General features: G+C 33.5%; 1 protein-coding gene across 4 annotated transcripts in view; it reads right to left on the bottom strand.

Annotated features, from left to right (window-relative positions):
- SLC12A2 (solute carrier family 12 member 2) overlaps positions 1 to 22414 on the bottom strand; it is a 105912-nt gene that overhangs the window by 4668 nt on the left and 78830 nt on the right. Inside the window, exons 18-26 of one of the 4 annotated variants that reach the window (NR_046207.2) lie at positions 17143 to 17249; positions 13264 to 13343; positions 10344 to 10469; positions 7858 to 7905; positions 6321 to 6443; positions 4016 to 4127; positions 2069 to 2155; positions 509 to 644; positions 154 to 287 (exon numbers count right to left, since the gene is read on the bottom strand). Coding sequence is in view for 3 of the 4 variants with exons in the window: in NM_001046.3 (NP_001037.1) it covers positions 154 to 221; positions 509 to 644; positions 2069 to 2155; positions 4016 to 4127; positions 6321 to 6443; positions 7858 to 7905; positions 10344 to 10469; positions 13264 to 13343; positions 17143 to 17249 (887 nt within the window). In the remaining variant the exon portion in view is untranslated. Of the gene's footprint in view, positions 1 to 153; positions 288 to 508; positions 645 to 2068; positions 2156 to 4015; positions 4128 to 6320; positions 6444 to 7370; positions 7437 to 7857; positions 7906 to 10343; positions 10470 to 13263; positions 13344 to 17142; positions 17250 to 22414 lie in introns of those variants that run through there. The other 3 variants (NM_001046.3, NM_001256461.2, XM_047417591.1) reach the window with 3 other exon arrangements.

The following is a 22414-nucleotide window of genomic DNA, read 5'->3' as shown; positions in this document are numbered from 1 at the left end:
TTAAAGCATAGTATATTTTTACAAGTTTGTTTTTTCCTCCTTATAACCACTAAGTCAATATGGGTGTTATATAGATATGTACTTGGAATAGAAATTAATTCAAAGCATATTATCATAAATTAGCAAGAAAATCTTTATAAAGATATTACTTACATGACAATAATATTAGCTGTGCTTGAATGTTCCTTTAATAACTCATTTAACCTGATCTGCCGGTATGTCTGAAATGAAACAGGACAGTCATTCCTAGACCATGTGGAAATAAGAATTTAGCATGGTTCATAAAACTATAAGGAGACAAAAAGAAACTGAAATGAATTTTCGTGTAATAAAAATATCTGTTCTCTATTTTTATTTTTTTTAAAAATGCTTTCCACTAACCTCAAATAAATCTATTTTAAAGTAGAGTTCATTTATACAACTGACCCTCCTATATCAAATTAAAGTTCTTGGTTTTCATGTCTTTTATTATATAAAAGATTAATGAAAAGGAAGCAGAAGAGAATACCTTGGTCTTATAAAGTTCAAGCTCATTATCTGTTATTCGCCATGGTTCATCTTCTTTCATTTTATCTGCAATATCTTGCTCTTTATCATCTTCATGAAGTCTGTATGGCTCAATGATTTCCTCAAAAGCTATAATACTTTAAAAAACAGAAAGAATACTGACAACTAATCTTATTTTAAGTTACATAACAGGAAGATCTTAAATATTAAATTGTAACTTGCAAAGTTAGTGCCTCTCATTTATTACGCTCCTCTCCATACCCCAACCATAATAATCAGTTTGGCAATTTATTTCAAAAACAGCAATTTCTAGTCTCTCAAACTGATGAGAAAATTAGAACCCATATAGACAATACAGATTGTGCATCCCTAATCTGAAATCCAAAATGCTTCAAAATCTAAAACTTTCTAAGCACCAATACGATGTCTAATGGAAATGCTCAGTGGAACATTTTAAATTTCTGATTTTTGGATTAGGAATGCTAAACCAGCAGGTATAATGAAAATATTCCAAAATTTAAAAAAAAATCTGAAATCTGAAACACTTTTGGTTGATCCCAAGCATTTGGGATAAGGAATCTCCAACCTGTAATAAATTGCATTTTTAACTGCTAAAGCTGATCTCACTGTTATCTACCCCGCCTCCCCTTATGGCCATTTTCTCTCAGCCTAAATAAATTTTACCATAGTAGCTAACATGATCCCTTTGAGCAATAAGTCAAATTGTGTTACTACTCTGCTCAAAACACCCAAAGGCTTTCCCAGTTATCAATGAATAAAAGTGATGTAAAAAAATGTACTAGAACATTTTGAAGGGGAAAAGGGCAGACACTAAAAATTTAAGGAAATGCAAAATTAATTTCTACATCCAAAGATATTTAACAGTAAAATAACATGAATGGCATTCTAATCCTCTATGAACATGAAAAATATTTTTCAGTATCAAATCTAGTATGAAACACCCAGTATACACTGTGTTACAATAAAAGCAATCTCACCCTGATTACAACCTTACAAATTGTACCTTACTATTTTCTATCTAAAAGGAATTCTTTATATCAGCTTCATATTGATTCAACATTAATCTAAGAATTAAAATTATATCAGGTAAAATAAATACAAATATCATTATAACAACCTGTATATACCATTTTCAGGTGGAATATTCCAAAGTCTTTGCTAGAAGAATTCTGAATGCAACTATTGCAGGCAAATGTTTAGATTTTCCTATTTTAGCAATAAAACAAAACAGTGGAAAGTAATAGGTATGTAGAGCAGGGACTGAGTGGTTATAACGACTGTAGGCAGGGGCAATGGAAATGAACCACCTTTCAGAAATCACATGTAAAGCTGTAATTTAAATCCTCTCTGAATATTGAAAACTCTTTAGACTTTCTTTAATATCTGATATATGCATGCCAACTATCAATGCTAGATTTTTTAAAATATTGACTTCACATGTAACTAACAACAGGAAAAAAATCTCTGGGTTTTAATTAAGTTGAATCTGTGTCTGAGTAGGCCATCTATAAAGGGATCAGAAATTTGTAGAGTAACTTACTTTTCTTTCTTTGGTTTGGTATTGATATCTCCTAGAACCATGATATCAGAAAAGTCTATCCGGAACTTGCTAAGCAAAGTAGCCATCCTACAACAAAAATAAATAGAATTAAGATACAAGTATTTTCATTCTATATTGGGCTGAATCCATATATCTAAAAAGCATGATTTATAGAAAAAGTCAGTCTATCATATGCTAAACAATATCCATTTGAATTAATTCACACCATTCATTCACAAAGTAGACTTAAATTCACTGAGTACTTTACTTTCTGAGTAATCACTGAGTATTTTACTTTCTCTGAATCTCTCCTTAGCACTGAGTAATGGACAAAGACATTAATAATAAAATTTAAATGGAAGCTAATGTTTCTTAAGTTAATTTTAGTCAAACTATATTGATAAGTACATAAATTTCAGTAAAAACTAGTAGACAAATATTTAATTATTTTTGGATTATTCTTCCATCCAAGAACACTTATCTCAGGGCCCAAATATGACCTGTGGGCCATACTGAAGATATAGTTGATGGCAGATTAAGTTCATAGCATTTTGGGGAAAGAAGGAACTGGGACAGGATGTAGAAAAGGATCATCAACAAGCCTGATTTTCCAGTAAATACCTTTCTGAAGGCTTAGCTGGCAATGAAACATTGGTGGCAACAACAGAACAGGTGAAGTGCACATATATACAAAAAGCAATTAACAAAATGCAATTTTATTTGTAATAAAAATGTTTTTAAATTGAGATATGAGAAAACAGATCTGCTATAGGTTTGACTATTAAATTTATTATTAGTATTTCTTGCATAATTCACTATTTGAAATGAATAAACAGTTGAATTCCAGGATCTATCAATTAAGTGGCTACTATAAAACATGCTAAACAGGGCCCACAAAACTTAAATAAGACAATAAATATAATACCAGCCATAATGTGATGAGTGGTAGGTATAAAAGTATATTGTGATTCCAGAAGGAAACATAACAACTAGATGGGGGGGTAAGTGGGGGGAAAATAGGAAAGGCACTATGAAGAACTGAGCTGGGTTTTAAAGAATGCAGTATTTAAAGAGATAAAAGGAGAGGCAAGTGAAGAGCTATTTACAGGAGAGAGATGAGAGGAGGCAAAGGAGTAAAAGCCTGAAGTCACATGCATGTTTAGAGCATAGGGAAAAGTGTACTGAAACACTGGGGGAAACAGAAGAATAGAAAGGGAATGAGAGGACAGACTGTCAAGGGCCTTGACTGCTACATTATAACAATTAGATTTTCTATGGCAGGTAGCAGAGAAGTCGTTTAACTATTTTGGGTAGAGGAATCATATGGTCAAAACTCTGCTTTCTGAAAAATAAAACTGGGTTTCAATGCTTCTGAGTACCCATGTCTTACCTTTGACCCATAATGTGTACAATATACATATTAATTAGGTTGAAGATTATGCATATTATGTACTCTGTACAATATACATGTTACAGGTCAAAGACAAAACAAGAGTACTTAGAGAGCAGGAGAGAAATACTGAAACAAGAACTAGAATCGTGACAGTATAGATGGAAAGAATTGGATGGATGACAATGGCATCCTGCATTTTGTTGTCTAGAAGTCTACAACAAAATTTATCTCATATATAAATATGTAACGTTTGTGCATTTTCTCCCTGATTAAAAGAAAGAAGTTGCTTAACACTTTAATGTTACAAGTATTTAAGAAGGACCTTCTAAAATGCTAGTATGTTAAAAAAAATTATATCTAAGTAAAATTAAGTATTTACTAGTTAAACATGAAGACTAAAGAGAACAAGGTTATATTTAAAATTTTTAACTTCAGTAAAGAACAAAGCAAGATAATAGACATTTTCTGGATTGTCTAATTTTTATCCTATCAAATTTATACTGTAGCAATGAAGTGCTAATAGATTCATGCCCTTCAATGTGAAATAAACTTACGCTCTCCGGTCATGGTCTATTCTGTTTATCTTTCCACCAATGAATACTCTGATCTTACAGTCTTTCCATTTTTTCTTGGTCGTCAGAAGGTAAGGTATCAATAAGGTCAAACCTGAATTATAAAAATGTAATAAATCATTTACTAAATGCAAATTTCTTAATCAGGAACATCAATTTAGTCTCGAAAAACATGTTTACTACAACTCCATATGAAACAAAAATCTTTCTGTCCTTCCTTGATAATTCAGTCAAAAAGCCATTAGCAGACCTGAGAAACAAGGGACTCCTAACGGAGTCTGATCCCATTCAAGGAAGGTAGCCAAATGGGATAGTGGCCTGGTAAGGTCGAGATCAGTCACATACAACAGGATTGAGAAAATAAGTATAATTATTGACCTTAGCAGGAGCCATGTTTAACACTGAAATTAGAAATATGAAAAGGGAGAAGCTGGACTGAAATTGCTTTTTGATCTCCATTTATATCTCCACAGACACACACACAAGGAGTTCCTGGCTCTGTCCATGGAGAAGGCCTGGGAGCAGTGACACTCCAGTAGACACAAGCATATCCAATGCCCTGATCTTTGTTTCTAAACACTATGATTCAGTAAAAGGAACCAGCATTCCTTGGAAAGGGTTACTTTCGTGGCTGTGAAGGGAAAGTGCAAAACAATAAAACTGAGCCTGGAACATCTTCTTGTATTAGAAAATAACCCAAAAGAATGGGCTGGGCGTGGTGGCTCACACCTGTAATCCCAGCACTTTGGGAGGCCGAGGTGGGTGGATCACGAGGTCAGGAGATCGAGACCATCCTGGCTAACACGATGAAACCCCATCTCTACTAAAAATACTAAAAAATTAGCTGGGCATGGTGGCAGGTGCCTGTAGTCCCAGCTACTCGGGAGGCTGAGGCAGGAGAATGGTGTGAACCCGGGAGGCGGAGCTTTCAGTGGGCCGAGATTGCGCCACTGTACTCCAGCCTGGGTGGCAGAAAAAGACTCAGTCGCAAAAAAAAAAAAAAAAAAAAAAAAAAAAAAAAAAAAAAAGGAACGATTGGGACATGATAAATGGAAACAAATGAGCCTAAGGAGGATTCTGCTGGCGAAATATAGGACAATTGGAACATCAAAACAAATGAAAGTAACAAATTATATCCTGGAATAGTTCGGATATCAGCCCCTACCCAAATCTCACGGTGAACTGTAATTAATCCCCAGTGCTGGAGGTGGAGCTTAGTGGGAGGTGTTTGGATCATGGGGGTCAGTCCCTCAAGGTTTGGTGCTTGTCTTTGTGATAGTTCTCATGAGACCGGGTGATTTAAAAGTGTGTGGCATCTCTGTCTCCTCTCTATGACTCTCTCACTCTTGCTTTCATCATGTGATGTGCCTGTTCCTGCTTTGCCTTCTGCCATAAGTAAAAGCTCCCTGAGGCTTCTCTAGAAGCTGAGTGATGTCAGGACCATGCTTGTGTGGTCTGCAGAATCATCAGCAGATTAAACCTCTTTTCTTTAGAAACTACCCAGTCTCAGGTATTCCTTCAAAGCAACACAAGAACAGTCTAATACATATCCCACTGAATATCAATAAAATAGGAATCAATGAGTCCACACTGACAGAAATAAAGAGCTCTTCCTTACAATAAAATGCCAACTAATAAATGAGGAAGAAATGATGGAATAGGAGAATCATCATTTGGCAACCACAACAATAACAATACATTCAGGCAGAAACATCAATGGATCCTAAAGATAGTGGTGAAGGCTGCAAGAATAGTGTATTTACATAGTCTCAGAGTAATCCCTCTGTGCCATCCCCAATACCTGTAATTATAAAAGGGGGTGGGGTAACTTTTCAGTGAATACATGTGGTGAAAATCATATATTACTCAATGGTTAATTTCACCAGTGAAGGTACAAATCAACATCCTGTGCCACCTGATGAGATGTAGACAGAAGAGCACAGCATCACTTCTGTGATATTTCTGCCAAAGGTAGATAACCTAAAACTAATTATAATAAAACATTAACTAGCACTTCAAATTGGGTTACAGTCAACAAAATGGTTCATATTAAAAAAAAGTTAAGGTCATGAAGCTCAAGGAAATACTACTGAACAACCTCCGCATTAGGGATACTGAAGAGACCAGACAACTAAAGGCTGTGCCTGATTCTGAAATTAATCCTTTTGCTTTTGGGAATGCTGGCAAAATTTGAATGGGGTCCACAGGTAAAGAGTGCATGTCATTTCTTACTATTCTCACAATGTCAGTAAATTTAAAATCATTTTAAAAAAATTAACAACCTTACCTCCATCATCAAAAAGCCACCAGACATCAATAGTATTCTTTCCTTGTTTTTTCTGAAACTGTGTACTAGCTTCAAGAAGCTTTTGGTCAGCTACATTTAAAGGCACAATAGGGCCTTTGGATTCTAAAGGATTAAGCAAAATATAAAATGTAAGCAAAGTAAATATTAAAGTCCCTTTTGCTGAATTCCTATCATTTCCTAATGTTTGTATATTCAGATGTTTATACTACAGATAATTCAGACAATTGTATACGGCATCTACCATAAACTTTCAGTTGTTTATAATAAAAGTATACTTTATAAATGGCTAGAGAGAAATAACTCTTTACAATAGCTAAACCAATCCAAATTATCTGCCTACTTACTAATATTTTCAAGCATTCTGAATGAATGTAAGAGAATCATAAATAACAATAAAAAAAATTACAGTGAGCTGCTAGATTTTGTTTTGAAAAGCTGTTTTAGTCAAACTGGACAAATCAAGTTTATACCTGTTCTGTGAAACTATTTCTTTGGTAATCTGGTATCTCAATAATTTAAAGCTCAAAACTTTTTAAAAGACAAAGTTGTTATCTGCAATATAAATGAAAGATGGGAGTTGAAGACATACTAACACATTCTTACAATTATCACAGTGAAACCTTAGTCTAAGGAAAGACTTCTCATTTTTACCTATGTTTTGTCCCCAATATGTGGCACCCAATTCTAAAGCCATATAACCACATCTTTCTCTGAACCACAGAAAGATGGTGGGAGCTCCTTCAAAGGGCACCCATCTGCTGCAGGTCTGAGAACAATACACCAAGGAGTTCCCATTTATATTCCCAGGAGTTAAAACAAAACAAAAAACAGCATTGATTCTGTGAGCAAGCAAATGACTATCATGAAACTCCTACACCAAAATTTTAAAAGCAGAAATCCATACGAGGACATCTGATCACTTCTGTAGAATGTCACTTTTCATGCTGCTGTGATATATGCAAACATGACAAATGATTTTGCACGATGAAATAATATGGCTACCAAACCACACTGCTCCATAACTCTCACCTCTATCTCCTTCTCATAAAATTCATGTATGTTGACATGACTGTGTATCTCCCAAACGCAGCACGACTGTGAGAAATATTGTAATTTTTGAAATGAAAAATACATTAGTATCAAAATTGAGGACTTGGCTGGGTACAACTGATGGTAAAGAATGCAAGTGACACTGCAAATAAAACCTATTTCAGTGTCCCTACTTATCATCTAAACCATGCAGTTTAAATTAAAAAAAATTAATACCGGCTGTCTGGGTCTAATATTTCAGAAATGCTGTGATAATAGAAAAGAATTTGTGATATAACTCCATTTCCTGAGAATATTTAACTTTTTAGTTAGACTAATAATAATTTTTCTAATCTGCATTTATAGAACTGTAACATTACCTCACCATGGAAATAAAAACCAAGGTTAAAAAAAAGGGAATAAGGTTGGAGTTAAAGAGTTTACAGTATGAAAAAGGGTTTAAAATAAAATGATGAAAAATGCCTGCCTTTTTTCAACAGTGGTTGAGTTGCAGTCTTGCCATCCTCTTCCTCAACTAGATTATGTTTAAAAAACACAAAAATATGTTAATTGCCTTTATATTAATAAAATAATAAAAATGTAATCAGAGCACATTTATAAACAAAATATAATATGAAGCAGCAGTCCACTGAAAAATAATCAAGACTGAAGATTAATATTTTCTGCACTGAGTGTTGAAGCTTTTAAAAAGCAAACATATTTGAGACCCCTCCCCTACAGGATGACTAACACCCCTAAATTTAATTTCTGTAAAATTACTTTTTAAATTTCAGCATATTTTTAAAATGTTTACACTTTCATACTTGAAATAAGTTGAGAAGATGTTGAACTGTGGCTTATAGGTATAAATATGACATTAAACATTGATATTGCAGATAATACATAAATTTTAAACATGCCATCACTGTGCAAATAACTGAACAGCAATTTTAGAAACATTTAATGGATATTTGTTGTTTGTAAAAAATTAATCACACTTGAAATATTAAGAAATTTGATCAGAGACATAAGTATTTTGCTTTATATAAAATGCCAGGTTATACAGGAGTGATTTTTCTCACATATATAAATTTATATATGTATGTATATACGTGTGCATTAATATTTATCCATTTATATTTAAAAATATCTACAAATATATCTGGCATTAACAATTTTCCTAATCTCATTTTGTTCCCTTAATACAAGCTTGTATTAAAATATTTGTTTATGGCATATAAAACTCTGGACTTAGGAAAGAGTATACTACAGTGGGCTCTGGAGTTAGGCTGCAAGATTGCAATCTTACCTCTACATTTATATTCCCAGGAGTTAAAACAGCTGAGTAAACTTTCATTACTGAACTTGCTTTTCTCATTTGTCGAAAGAGGTATTAGTACCTACCTCTTAAGCTTGTTATACTAATGCAAGTATTAATGCACTGAACTCTGGGCCTGGCAGAAAGTATTTGAAGGGTGTTCTTTTTGACTTCTTGCATGATGTATGCTTCAATAACCAAGATAGACACAGCTAAATACTGTGGATTTATAACAACTACACACTAATGTCTCTAATTCTGAAGACTTTTTAAAATGTATAAACGTTTCTATAGTATCTACACTGTTGACTGAGAATAACTGACTAAACAGAAAATAAACACAAAATAAAGCAAACACTAATTTCTTAAACTTGTAATGGAAAAAGAATCATTAGATTTAATATTATAGCATTCAATATTGTTCTTATAAAGCAGACATTTAATGGCATTTGTCTTTGATAATAAAAATTATAACTACGGATATGCTGCATTTGTTTAAAAGATCTCAGAAATGTCAAGGAAATCTTGACATTTAACAATTATAAAGTAAGTTAAAGGCATTTAGATTTTTACAATAAAAAGGTAAGTAGAAATGTACTGACCCAGTTTCCTGTTCTATAAAAATAATGATTTCATAAGATCGTAACATATATTAATTAGCTAATGTATGGGTAACATCCATTATAATGTTGGGTGCACGGAGTAGATGCTTGATATGTATTTCTTCTTACCCTCCCATTAAACTTCACCTATTAATTCCCAACAGATTCTGTAGAAAAAGAATGTTTGAAGCAAAAGAAAAAAACAAAAAAGAGGAAATGAAAGAATGTATAGTGTAAACTAAAATAAATGCTGGAATATAGGAACAGTTATCAGAATCAGTTTATAGAATTTTGAGGAAAAACAAAATAAATTATAATCAAGTCAGCAAAGAACTGAAAAGGAAAATGGGTGTGAACTAAACTTTACTAATACTCTAAGCCAACAAGGTAAATGAGAAGGAAAGAAATAAAAAGCAACATTACTGCTTCTAAATAATATAGAAGAGATAAACTGTACAGAGACATGATTGGTCCAAGGTTACAATTTCAGAAAAAGAATGGGAAATATTTTGCAGGAATCAAAAGTATGTTACAGTTTGATGATTCACAGCGCAGATTATTTTCTTGTTGCGTGTCAGCTGGGAATAGGACAGATGGAGATACTAGACTGAACAGAGGTAGGAGAGTGAGGGTGGGAGAGTAAGATTTGGAAGTCATCCCTCTTTTCTTCTCAAACATGACACAGATTTGTGGATGAAATTATGTGAAAGTCATGAGTTTGTTACTTTAAAATTACCATGTTCTTTCCAAATTCAGATTTAACTTATGCTTCAAATTAAAATGTTTTATTTAAAGCAACTATAAATAAAAACACAGAAGCCATATTAGTAAATAACTAGCATGGTTTCTGTTTGATGATCTACTCTAATACCTTACACAGCTAGTCATTTTGTAGCCATTTTTGAAAGCCATAAATTTTACCTGACCAGCTAGAAATGACCAGTACAAGTTTGAGAACAGGTTATTTTTATAAGACATATTATATAATTAAAAATATTTCTCCCAAATTAAAACATTACTATTAATAAGACTTATTGTTTGAATGAAAATTACCTTTGTGTGTAATTGGTTTTTCACTGAGTGGTTTGGAAGTATCTAAATCGGACTTTTTACTATATTCCACACTTACTACCACATCCTTGGTGCCAGGAGATTTCTCTTGTGATGACAATAATTCTTCTGTAGACAGAAAATTATTTAAAATAGTATCTAAGTCATATTTTAACTGTTAAATAAGGCATTATGGTTTAGTAATTAAACTATTATGAAAAAATAAGTTTATTATAAATGGCTTCTTATTTAAACAACTATGATAATCTGTTTGAAATGACTATTCATTTAAATACATAAACCACAACTAGGTTACAGGTTGAATATCCTGATCTGAAAGTCTGAAACTTTTTACATGCCTAACATGATGCTCAATGGAGCATTTCAGATTTGGGATTTCTGGATCAGAGATGCTCAACTGGTAAGTACTATGTAATGCAAATATTCCAAAATCAACCTCTCCCCGTCCAAATTCTGAAACTCTTCAGGTTCCAAGCATTTTGGATATAGATACACAAACTGTATTTGAATTACGAGCTGGAGAATCAGTAATGAGTACAAGTCATAGGACAGTAGAATCTGGTAGACAGTAATACATAGTATGTGAATCAATTCTCTCTAAATCAATTACATAAAAAATGTAAAATGTAACAACTGTCCATAGATACGTAAGATGACAGACAACACTGAAAAACTCTACCCACTCTATAAAACCAAGACCACCAAATGGAGTCTTCCTAAGTTCATGGTGAAAGTACCATTTCTCCATTTTAAAGTAGTTTTTCTTCATTTTCTCTTTGTCAGAGTTAGTAAAGATTTAGTTTCCACCATACAAACATGTATCACAAAGACAAATATAATATAAAATTGATAGTATGTCCATAATCCTCATCACTTATTTGCGTAAATGAAGAGAAACAAAAGAAGCTACATGCCAGCACTATGCTAAGAGCTCGCAGGCCTTAATCTTCTTTTTAATCTTAACAACCAACCTGTAAGGTAAATACATTTTAACAGATAAGGAAACTGAGGCTTGGAAGTCATCAAATTTGCCTAGGCTACAAAACATCTAACAGAAAAGGCTGATATTTTTAAAGCAGATTTGCCTGACTCCAATGCCTATGCTCTTAATTCCTATTCCCAAATTCCTGTTTTAAAACTTAATGATGAATAATAAGGCATTCAAAAACATTTCACAATGATTATAAATACATGAAAATACTTTTTAAAAGTTTCAATCACATTCAAACTTCAGTAAATGATAGAACTATATAATTTATTCATCAAACTGATACGTGAAAGGGAACACTACTATTTATGTTGAGTTAACAGGTATAAGTTAGGCACTCTAAACCTCAATTCTGGTAGAGCAAGAAATAATTGAAATAGTATTTTGCCAAACCTACTCCAGATTGCTGAAAATGCATATTTGGTTACATGGATAAAGACCTCAAATTGCTTTTTTCAAAACTGCAGACTGCCCTTAAAGGGGTAAAGAGAGGGAAGATTAAAACAGTTTAAATACAGAAGCAGATACCTCTTACGTATTTAGGCTTAGCTCATTCTGATGATTTGGTTAATTAATTGATAGGGGTAATATGTTATATATGTAAATTTTCTTAAGCTTATAATTTCTTAAAGTATCAGAAAATCTTCAAAGGATATAAAAATCTTCACAGTTGTTTTTTTTTTGTTTTTTGTTTTTTGTTTTTTTTGTATTTTTTGAGTCTTGCTCTTGTCACCCAGGCTGGAGTGCAAAGGAGCAATCTCGGCTTACTGCAGCCTCTGCTTCCTGGGTTCAAGCAATTCTCCTGCCTCAGCTTCCCAAACATCTGGGATTACAAGCATGCCCCACTAATTTTTCTATTTTTAGTAGAGACGGGGCTTCACCATGCTGGTCAGACTGGTCTCAAACTCCTGACCTCTGGTCATCCACCCACCTCAGCCTCCCAGCATGCTGGGATTACAGGCATGGGCCACGGTGCCCAGCCATAGTTTTTATAAAGTTGGCAAAAGTAGTAATTATACCTTACTTAGGCTTTAATCTTCACTTTCAAAAATGCTTTAAAAGTTACACACTATATTATTATTTACATACCATTCTTGACATGTCAAAATTATACAGTAATGATTGGAGACAAAGTACATAGTGGGAAGTAGAAAGGGGGAACACATAGGGAGACCTCTGTAGTGACAGAACAGTTCTGTATCTTTATTGCAATGGTGGTTACACAAATGAACACATAAGTGGCACACAACTACACAACCACATACAAGTCTTTGTAAACTGCTGAAATCTGAAAAAGGTCTGTGGATTGTTCTAATGTCAATTTCCTGGCTTGGATATAGTACCTTAGGATAAGGCAAGATGTTATCATTGGGGGAAACTGGATGAAAGGTACAGAGGACCTCTCTACTATTTTTTGCAACTTCTTGTGAATCTATAAATATTTTTAAATTAAAAAATGTTTTTAAAAAATTTATTAGGTCTGCTGAAGATAGAAAACGTTATGACAAACTTTAGGCTTCTATCAATATGACTCTGTACAAAGCATACTTTCATAAATATGAAAATGTCTAATGATTTAGTGGTCATTTAAAAATTTTTCCTCAGGCTATTTTACTTAGGTTTGTCTGTTGGCCAGGTTTTTTAAAGACATAACTAATGTCTGTTTCTCTTAAGCTTATGCTTTGGATTGAATTTTATTCAATCCAAATAATCACTAACCATCATCCAGGTTGGTACAACGAGAAAACACAAACTTTAGTGGAGCCAAACAGATGTGATCTTAAAATGCCATACAATAAGTCCACGATACATAATTATTAAAAGTAACGAAGAGCCCAGTTTGTGAGAATATAATTTTCTAACAAAGTAGTTTATATTTTTGTAAATAAAAAACTTATTGCCAACAAAATTTACCTTGTCCTTGAAGATGAGATATATCCAGACCTTCTTTTAGGCGAATAACCACTACTCCATATTGTATGTCAAAAGCATCACTAAGAACAAAAAAACAAAAAATGAAAAAACCAAAAAAAAAATCACAAAAATTTGTGTTATCCTCTTTAAAATAAATAATAGATGATCTCTAAAATTACTTTCGGCTTTAAACGTCTGATTTTTAAAACATGCTTTGAAAATCACTTGTTGAGATATGTATGTTAGTTTCAAATTCCACAACATTCTCTTCTGTAATACCCTTGAAAACTACTTTTTAGATCTTTGTTGTACTGACATTATACCTACAGCAGCGGTTTAAAGCAGCAGCAGTATTTTTATCCTACTAAGTTAAATTATAGAAAAACTACTTTCAGAATCCCGCTATATTTATATTTGGGCTTATACCATTAAAACCAAGAGAAATACATGAAGACACACACACAAAAACCTTGATGCTACTGCGAATGATAGCAGGTTGCAGGATATGAAGAAATTCTTTTTGAAAAGACTGAGGGAATTTTAACATAATTTTAAAATTTTTACAAAACTGGTTTGAACAGTGGTTCAAAGATTTTATATACATCTGAAAATATATATTTACCTCTCCCTTTCTTTTTTTTTTTTTTTTTTGAGACAGAGTCTCGCTCTGTTGCCCAGGCTGGAGTGCAGTGGCGCAATCTTGGCTCACTACAACCTCTGCCTCCCGGTTTCAAGCAATCCTCCTGCCTCAGCCTCCCGAGTAGCTGGGAGTACAGACACACACCAGCACGCCTGGCTAATTTTTGTATTTTTAGTAGAGACAGGGTTTCACCACATTGGCCAGGCTGGTCTTGAACTCCTGACCTCGTGACCCACCTGCCTTGTCTTCCCAAAGTGCTGGGATTACAGGAGCGATCCCTTTCATTTTTAAAAACAGAAATGAGAGCATCCTATACACACAGAAAATACATTAAAATCTTGAAGACAGCTTTAAAACCAGACTTAAACCCTGGAATCTCAGTTCTGAGCATAAATCTTCATTTTAACCCAAGTTTTTCTCAAATCTACTGAAAAAATTTTAAATTCCAAAACGTCACGTTGTTCTCTGAAAGTGGTAACAGGCTTAACTTTCATCTTTAATTATTATTTTTCATTGCACAAGTAATAAGTATTCAATGTAGACATATTAAAAACAATGATATATTAAGATACAGCTATATGAAATCAAAAAGGCTAAAATCCAATAAAACAGTCAAATTATTACTCTTACTGACAAATGGAAGAATGTGTTCAGGATATAATATATGGTTATAAAAGGTCTTTTGTTGTTTTTAAATCATGGAGAGACAATTTGGCCACATTCCTATGATGAGCTAAAGTTAACAAAGTCACTGGAGAAATAAATTTAATAGGCATGTTAATCTTTCTCAGCTGTATCTTGAAAGATATAATTAATACTAGAGAAAAAATAACTATAAGCATTTTAAAAATTGTTTAATAAATCGACTAAATCAAAATCAATTTCTTTAAAGCCAGGGAATATAGCTCCCCAAGTTTACTGTGGATTAAAACAAATAAATGTTTTTGTTATAAGCTATAAAAATTGATTTGCAGCTTCAGATCTTATATACTATTAATAAAAACACAATATATAAAGCATACTTAAATTGCACAAGGTATTTAAAAATCACAGCTAAAACATCAGTGGAAGTGCAACAAGATAAAGAATGAGCAGTGTCACTGCTGTGAAACTGCTATTAATTTACATGGTTCTAAAACCAGAAAGCAGTATTTTACCTATTCTTTAACTGCTGCCTAATGTACAGGAATAATGTTTAGACTAATACTCAACTTTCAGAACACTCACTCACTTTAATCCCTAGAAAGTCAGAGTCAGAAAGACCCCTTCCAGTGTTCCATTATGAGCAACTACAACTAATAATGTGACAGGTGTATGAAAGAATTTGTAAAAAATGTCACTTTTTCTATTTTTTAGGATAATTACGTCATCTCACTGTTCTTAGGTCTTGAGAGGGAAAAAGCATAGGGTTTCATGGCTCATGGACCACATTAATCTTTCTGTCCCTAATCCCTATATACACAGAATACAAAATTAGAAAGCCACAATGAGGTTTTGCTTACAAAAACATTAATAAAACCAAAACTCAGCAGTAGTAACAACATACAACACATCAGCAGTTTTAATTTTACTAAAAGCATTTAACGATTAGTTGGTAAATCTTGTTTATCATATATATTACTAATCCATATAAAGAGATCCTTTAAAAAGTAGAGTATGAGATCCAGCTGCTTCCTCAAAGACTTTTCAAATGTCACTAATAAAACCATCATATGTGAGACAGGCAAATATATGTGGTTATAGCCAAAGATACAACAGGAGTTCCAGTAAGGAAGTAACTCCAGTGAGAAAAAAGGGTGATCAGATCAAAATTCATGGAGAAAATAGGACTTAAACTTTAATCTTAAAGCTACTTTGTAAATAAAAGTTTTTTTTAAAGGACAATTATAAGAGGAAGCAGACAGTTCTATTTCATCAGTGCTTAGGATGAGAAAAAAACTACTCCTCAAATCAAGTATGGCATAGTGGAGAGGGAATGCTTATCTTCAGTATAAACAAGATAAATAGGTTAGGCAAATCTTAGAATAGTAGGAAAAGAAGTACTTTTCAAGATTAAGAAGAAAATCTGGCAAAAACAAAAAAAAAGTTTTATTGTTATTAAACAAAAAGTATGTGGTAGATTACATTAAACATCCACAAAATCCACAAACAGAACACAACCAGAAAGACAAAGTAGCAAAGAATAAAAAAGAACGCACTATACCAAGGGTCCCCAATACCTGGGTCATGGACCAGTAATGAGCCAGGCTTGTTAGGAACTGGGTGGGCTGCACAGCAGAAGGTGAGCCATGGGCAGGTGAGCATTACCACCTGAAGTACACCTCATCAGATCAGCAGCGGCACCAATTGCTCAAAGGAGTGCAAACTTTATTATGAACTGCGCATGTGAGGAATCTAGGTTGTGCGCTCCTTATGAGAATTTAATGCCTGATGATCGTCAATTGTCTCCCATCACCCCCAGACGGGACTGCCTAGTTGGAGAAAAACAAGCTCAGGACTCCCACTGAGTCTACATTACGGTGAATATGTAATAATAATATAAATAAAGTCCACAATAAATGTAATGCGCTTGAATCATCCTGAAACCACAGACCCCACCACTACCCATGTCTGTGGAAAAATTGTCTTCCATGAAACTGGTCCCTGGTGCCAAAAAGGTTGGGGACTGCTGCACTAGACAACGCAAAAAACGGAAGTTACAGTGAACTCAAACTTAACTCTTCATAGTGGTAGAAAAACAAAACATATAAGTACATTTAAATAAAAGAAATGTAAATAACTTAATGAATGAACCAAATGATTAACTGCAAAATTTGTTTGGAAGGGGAACAAGCCTAAACAGCGATAAAACACTCTTCCTCAGCACATTATAATGACATAGTTTAGGAGGTGATGGGTCTGACATTTGGGAACTCTGCTCAGCAACAGCTGGAGGGATAGGAAAAAGTTTACAAACTTAAATGAGAAGCCAGAGTGTATACATATATACATATACATACATATATGTGTGTGTGTGTGTATATATATATATATGCATGTATGTAAAGAGACATATAAAGATCAATAAAAAATTGTTAATAGATTATCAATTTAAAACCCAGATGCTTTGTGTGATTCTTTTCGTTCTTATATTTCCATTACAAGAGACTATATGAGAAACAGTCTCCAAAAATTAGGACAAGCTTTCAAAATTAACATTTTCTAAATGAACTAAATTATTGAATTAAAAAGATACTTACTGAAATAAGTTTATATACATATCCACATCCCTCATATCTGCTTGCAACCAATCTTTCTTAAATCCAAGGACAAGTGTGTTTGGCTTCATACGACCAAGACCAGCAGCCTAAAATATAGGGTCAATATAACTTTACAGATATATTATTTTCAACAAAATGTTTTCTGAAGTGATAAAACTGTCCTCCAAATTGACAGCTTCTATAGACACTCTTAACAAAAATTCTTCAGCATTCCATATTCATATTTACTTATAAATTACATATACTATTCCATTGATATTACTTAAAATTAAACATACACAAAAATATAATTTAAAAATAAAACACTTGAAAAATTCTAAATGTACATATTTTTGTACTTTTATGATCTACCAAAATTTTCATATTTTTACTAAGAGAAAGAGAATATAATCTTTTTAAAAATTATAATACAGTGGCATTCTCATTTATATATTGTGATAACAGCCATTAAAAACTATAAACAAAAGTCCAAATGAATGCAGTTCTGAATCACATCAATACTAAAATCTGAATTTGTTCTACCAATCATGCAAAAGTTTTTGCTGACATCTGGCTAGTTAATTTCCTTCCTCAGTTATTCCATCAATTTTTCTTGCAACCTCATCAGGATTTGCAACTCAGTATGTTTAACAATAGGGAATTGGTTTCAGGGTCTCCCTTCAGCCCTTCCAGGATACCAAAATCTGCAAATGCTCAAGTCCCTTATATAAAATGGCATAGTATTTGCATATAAACAACACATAACCCCCCTTATTCTATAAATCATCTCAAGATTACTCATAATAGCTAATACAATATAAAGTTATATTGTATTTTTAAAATTTGTATTATTTTTATTGTTGTATTATTATTTTTTCAAATAATTTCAAGCCATGGTTGGTTGAATCTTTAGATGTGGAACCTGCAGACACAGAGGGCCAAAGTATCCCCCAAAATTCACTCAATCTAAGATTTTTAAACACATTAGAAAATTCTATTTCCAAGATTGTGTGCACACACAAGTTTTAGTATTTTATTGTAGCAAAAGATAAATAAAAAAAATTGTCATTTTAACCATTTTTAAGTGTACAATTCAATAGTATTAATTATATTCACAATGTTATATAAGCAACACTACTATCTATTTCTAAACATTTTTCATCACCCCAAACAGAAATTCTATAACCCTTAATAATCACCCATCCCCTTCTCCCTCCAACCCTTGGTAATATGTACTTCCGTCTCTATGAATCTGCCTATTCTAGATATTGCATGAGTGAAACAACAGTATATATTCTTGACATAATGTCTTCAAGGTTAATCCATGTTGTAGAACTTCATTCCTTTTTATGGCTGAATAATATTCCATTTCATACACACACACAAACACACACACACACACACACATTTGTTTATCCATTCATCTGTTGGGAGACGCTTTTGTTTTTATCTTTTGGCTATTGTGAATAAAACAGCAACGAATATTTTTTATCCATCCCTTTTATTGCTCATGCTTTTGGTGTCGTATCTAAGAATCCACTAACAAATCCAATGCTATTAAGTCTTACTGCTGTTTTCTTCTAAGAGTTTTACGGGTTTTGCTCTCATATTTATGTCACTAATTTAACTTTTATATATAGTGTGAGGTCACACATAGGATTATTTGTGACATATGTCATTTTTTGAAAAAAAAATTAATTCAAATATTTATCAAGTGTTGACCTGCCACTCGGGATAATTAGGACAGAAGAAATATCCCTAACTCTGTAAAGTTTACATCTGTTTTCAAAGTGTTCCATCCATATACAGACTTCTTTCAAGAAGTAAATTTTCCCCCCATTCAATACTAAAAGGACCTTTGACTTGGAGAGGCAGATAAAAATATTCATTTTAGTTTTTTAAAACTATCTTAACCACACAGCATATTTTTAACTGGGGGGGGGGGGGGGAGGTAAAAGAAAACCAAGAATATCTTTAGGTTGATAGCTTTTTAAAGAACTAAGCCATAAGATAACCAGTACCTTCTTAATGGTGCAAAATACTGTCAGGGTCACTCACAGAAATTTGTTACAATCCTATAATAATTAAAAGGTTTTATTTTTATAAAGTTAACAATAACAACTTGCTGTACTCTGTATACTTACATTTTCAATTTTGTTACTGCAATAACTTTCCCTTGAATGACTGAAACTTCACATCTATCACTCTCATCCCTAAATCCTTTGCAAATTCCAATCAAAGTAGCTATTCAGTCAAAGGTTATGTTTTCAGTGTCCAAATAACAATATGTTTATCAGTGGAGTAATTAGCTACTGAAAATATGTTTTCTCTGGAACATACTTCTTTACTAAGTGATCGGAAATGAGTTCTTCATGGATTACATAATTGAAATCTATTTAGCAAAATGCAGTCATCTGAAGCTTATTGCACGAATTTCAAACATTCCCACTGTGTTATTTCTTCAAATCTTTAACAATGTTTTCTGTGCATCTTAAGCCAAAATTTGCTGACCAAAAAAACGTATTTAGTTTTGCTATTTAAATATGAAGGTTTAAAATTGAGTTGACAATCAGGTGGCTATTGCCTTACAAAAAATTTAAAGGGAAAAGGAAATACAAATATACAAAACAAGAAAATTAGCAATGCTAATGTCCTTTGCTCAAAGAGGTCTCTAAGCAAGCTATTTATTGATAAGATTGTCTCTTTTTTAAAATAGTGAAGTCTTAGGCTGGGCATGGATGCTCATGCCGATAATCCCAGCACTTTGAGAGGCTGAGGTAGGAGGATTGTTCAAGCTCAGAGTTCAAGACCAGCCTGAGCAACATGGTGAAACCTCATCTCTACAAAAAATACAAAAACTAGCCAGCCATGGTAGCGCACGCCTATGGTCCCAGCTACTCAGGAGGCTGAGGTGGGAGGATCACTTGAGCCCAGGAGGTCAAGGCTGCAGTCAGCTACAGCTACTGCACTCCAACCTGGGAGACAGAGTGAGATTCTGTCTCCAAAAAAAAAAAAAAAAACAAAACAGTTTTGTTGTGGAAGCTAGATACTTAATTGCTAGTTTAATGATAAATAGATGCTTAAGATTATAATTAGTAACTAGAAAGATGAGGGGACAGGGAAAAATTGAGGGTAAGTCCAGTAAAACAAATAACATCTAAAAACAGCATCTCTACAACTATACAAAAAGTCACTGTACAAACAAATTAATGTACAAAATTCTTTTGCCAAAGGTAATAAACAACTAAAAGACATTTGACACTTTGTGTAACAGGTTTCCCAAAGGTAGAAAGGAAAGAGAAATACTCTCAGCAGCAATTCACACTAAAAATTTCAGTTACTAGTTGTACAGAGGCAACCGGCACCTATTTGTAATAATATTTCATATAGTTCCTCAGACAGCTCTGCTAGAAAGTCAGTCTCCTAAGTATTTTTCTCAAAACAATACTCTTCTATTTATCCTAAAACTTTGCCCCACACTGATAGAGTTGTCATGGTCCACTGCAGTGAATATATTAGGTGGATGAAAGTAATCTGGAGGATGAATTCTAGCTCCTGCCAAATTTACAGAAGAATCATTTACACCACAGAGACTTTCTAGAGCAGTGATTCTTAAAGTATAGTCCCTGAACTGAATCAGCAGCATCACCTCAAACTCTGTTGGAAGTGCAAACGCTGGGCCCTCACCCCAGATCTGATTCATTCTGGGGTGGGGCCTAACAATCTGTGTTTTAACAAGTCTACTAGATGATTCTGACGCATGCTGAAGTTTAATGACCACTGCTCTAAGGAAAATTTTTCATTCATTTCCTTCCTAAAATTTATTGTTTGTATAAATTGGCTATCAGAATGTTCCTATAAATTATATAAAGGAAGCAAGATTTACCTACTAGAAATAACCATATGACCCAGTGTAGCATTCTACCTAAAATATTTCAATATTTCACATACAAAAATAAAGTATAAATAATAAACATTCATGTATCTACCGCGCCGTTAAGAAACATGAGAAACACAGTAAAGCCTCCACTGTATCTTCATGTTCTCTTTGCATTTTTACTATGTATTCTATTACTTAGAAATGCATACATATAAAATTTACTACATTTTTAAAATATTTAAATCTTCATATTGTTCATATACTTTTTAAAACTTGCTATTTTTCCTAAGCACTGTTTCTGAGGTGTATCCATGTTGATATATATAGCTCCTCTTCACCACTGTATAGAATTCTACCATACATTTGTACTACATTTTCATTTCTGTGATTGATGGTTGTTACTTCCGATTCTTTTTCACTATTACAAATGACGTTGCCATGAAGTTTCTTTTTTTTTTTGAGATGGGGTCTCGCTCTATCGCCCAAACTGGAGTGCGGTGGCATGATCTTGGCTCACTGCAACCTCTGCCTCAGGGGTTCAAGTGATTCTCCTGCCTCAGCCTCCCAGGTAGCTGAGATTACAGGTGCGTGCCACCACAACTGACTAACTTTTGTATTTTTAGTAGAGACAGGGTTTCACCATGTTGGCCAGGCTGGTCTTGAACTCCTGACCTCAGGTGATCCACCTGTCACAGTCTCCCAAAGTGCTAAGATTACAGGAGTGAGCCACTGTGCCCGGCCTGAAGTTTCATATAGCCTTCTTCACACGTGCAAAAGTTCCTGTGAGATGCACACCTAAGAAGAGAGTGTCCTAGAATATTCAAACCAAATTTGCAGGACATTTTGCCAGGTTGCTTTCCTATTTTGGACAGCGTTGTTGTCCAATCTACATTACCACAGCAGTTCAAAGATTTCCAATTGCTCTATGTCAGGGGTGTCCAATCTTTTGGCTTCTCTGGGCCACACTGGAAGAAGAATTGTCTTGAGCCACACACAGAATACACTAACACTAATGATAGCTGATCAGCTTAAAAAAAAAACTCACAAAAATAGCTCATAATGTTTTAAGAAAATTTACGAATTTGTGTTAGGCCGCATTCAAAGCCATCCTGGGCCATATGTAGTCCACGGGTTGGACCAGCTTGCTCTATGCCATTTCTAACACTCTGTATTGGCAGACTTAATTTTGGGTCAGTCTAATGGATATGGAATAAGAGTATATTGTGCTTTTAATTTTTATTTCTGTCATTTAGTTTTCCTCTCTGTTCATATCTTTCGCTTTTTTTCTGTTACTGACATGGTATTTCTGTCTGTACTCTGGACCATATCTTTTGTTGATTACATGTTAGGATCACCATCTTCCCTTGGTCTATGCTTCCTTTATTTATTTTC

The sequence above is a fragment of the Homo sapiens genome, chromosome 5 (genome assembly GCF_000001405.40).
Source record: "Homo sapiens chromosome 5, GRCh38.p14 Primary Assembly".
In the NCBI taxonomy this organism is placed as follows: Eukaryota; Metazoa; Chordata; class Mammalia; order Primates; family Hominidae; genus Homo; species Homo sapiens.
This window is presented reverse-complemented; position numbering and strand designations above follow the sequence as displayed.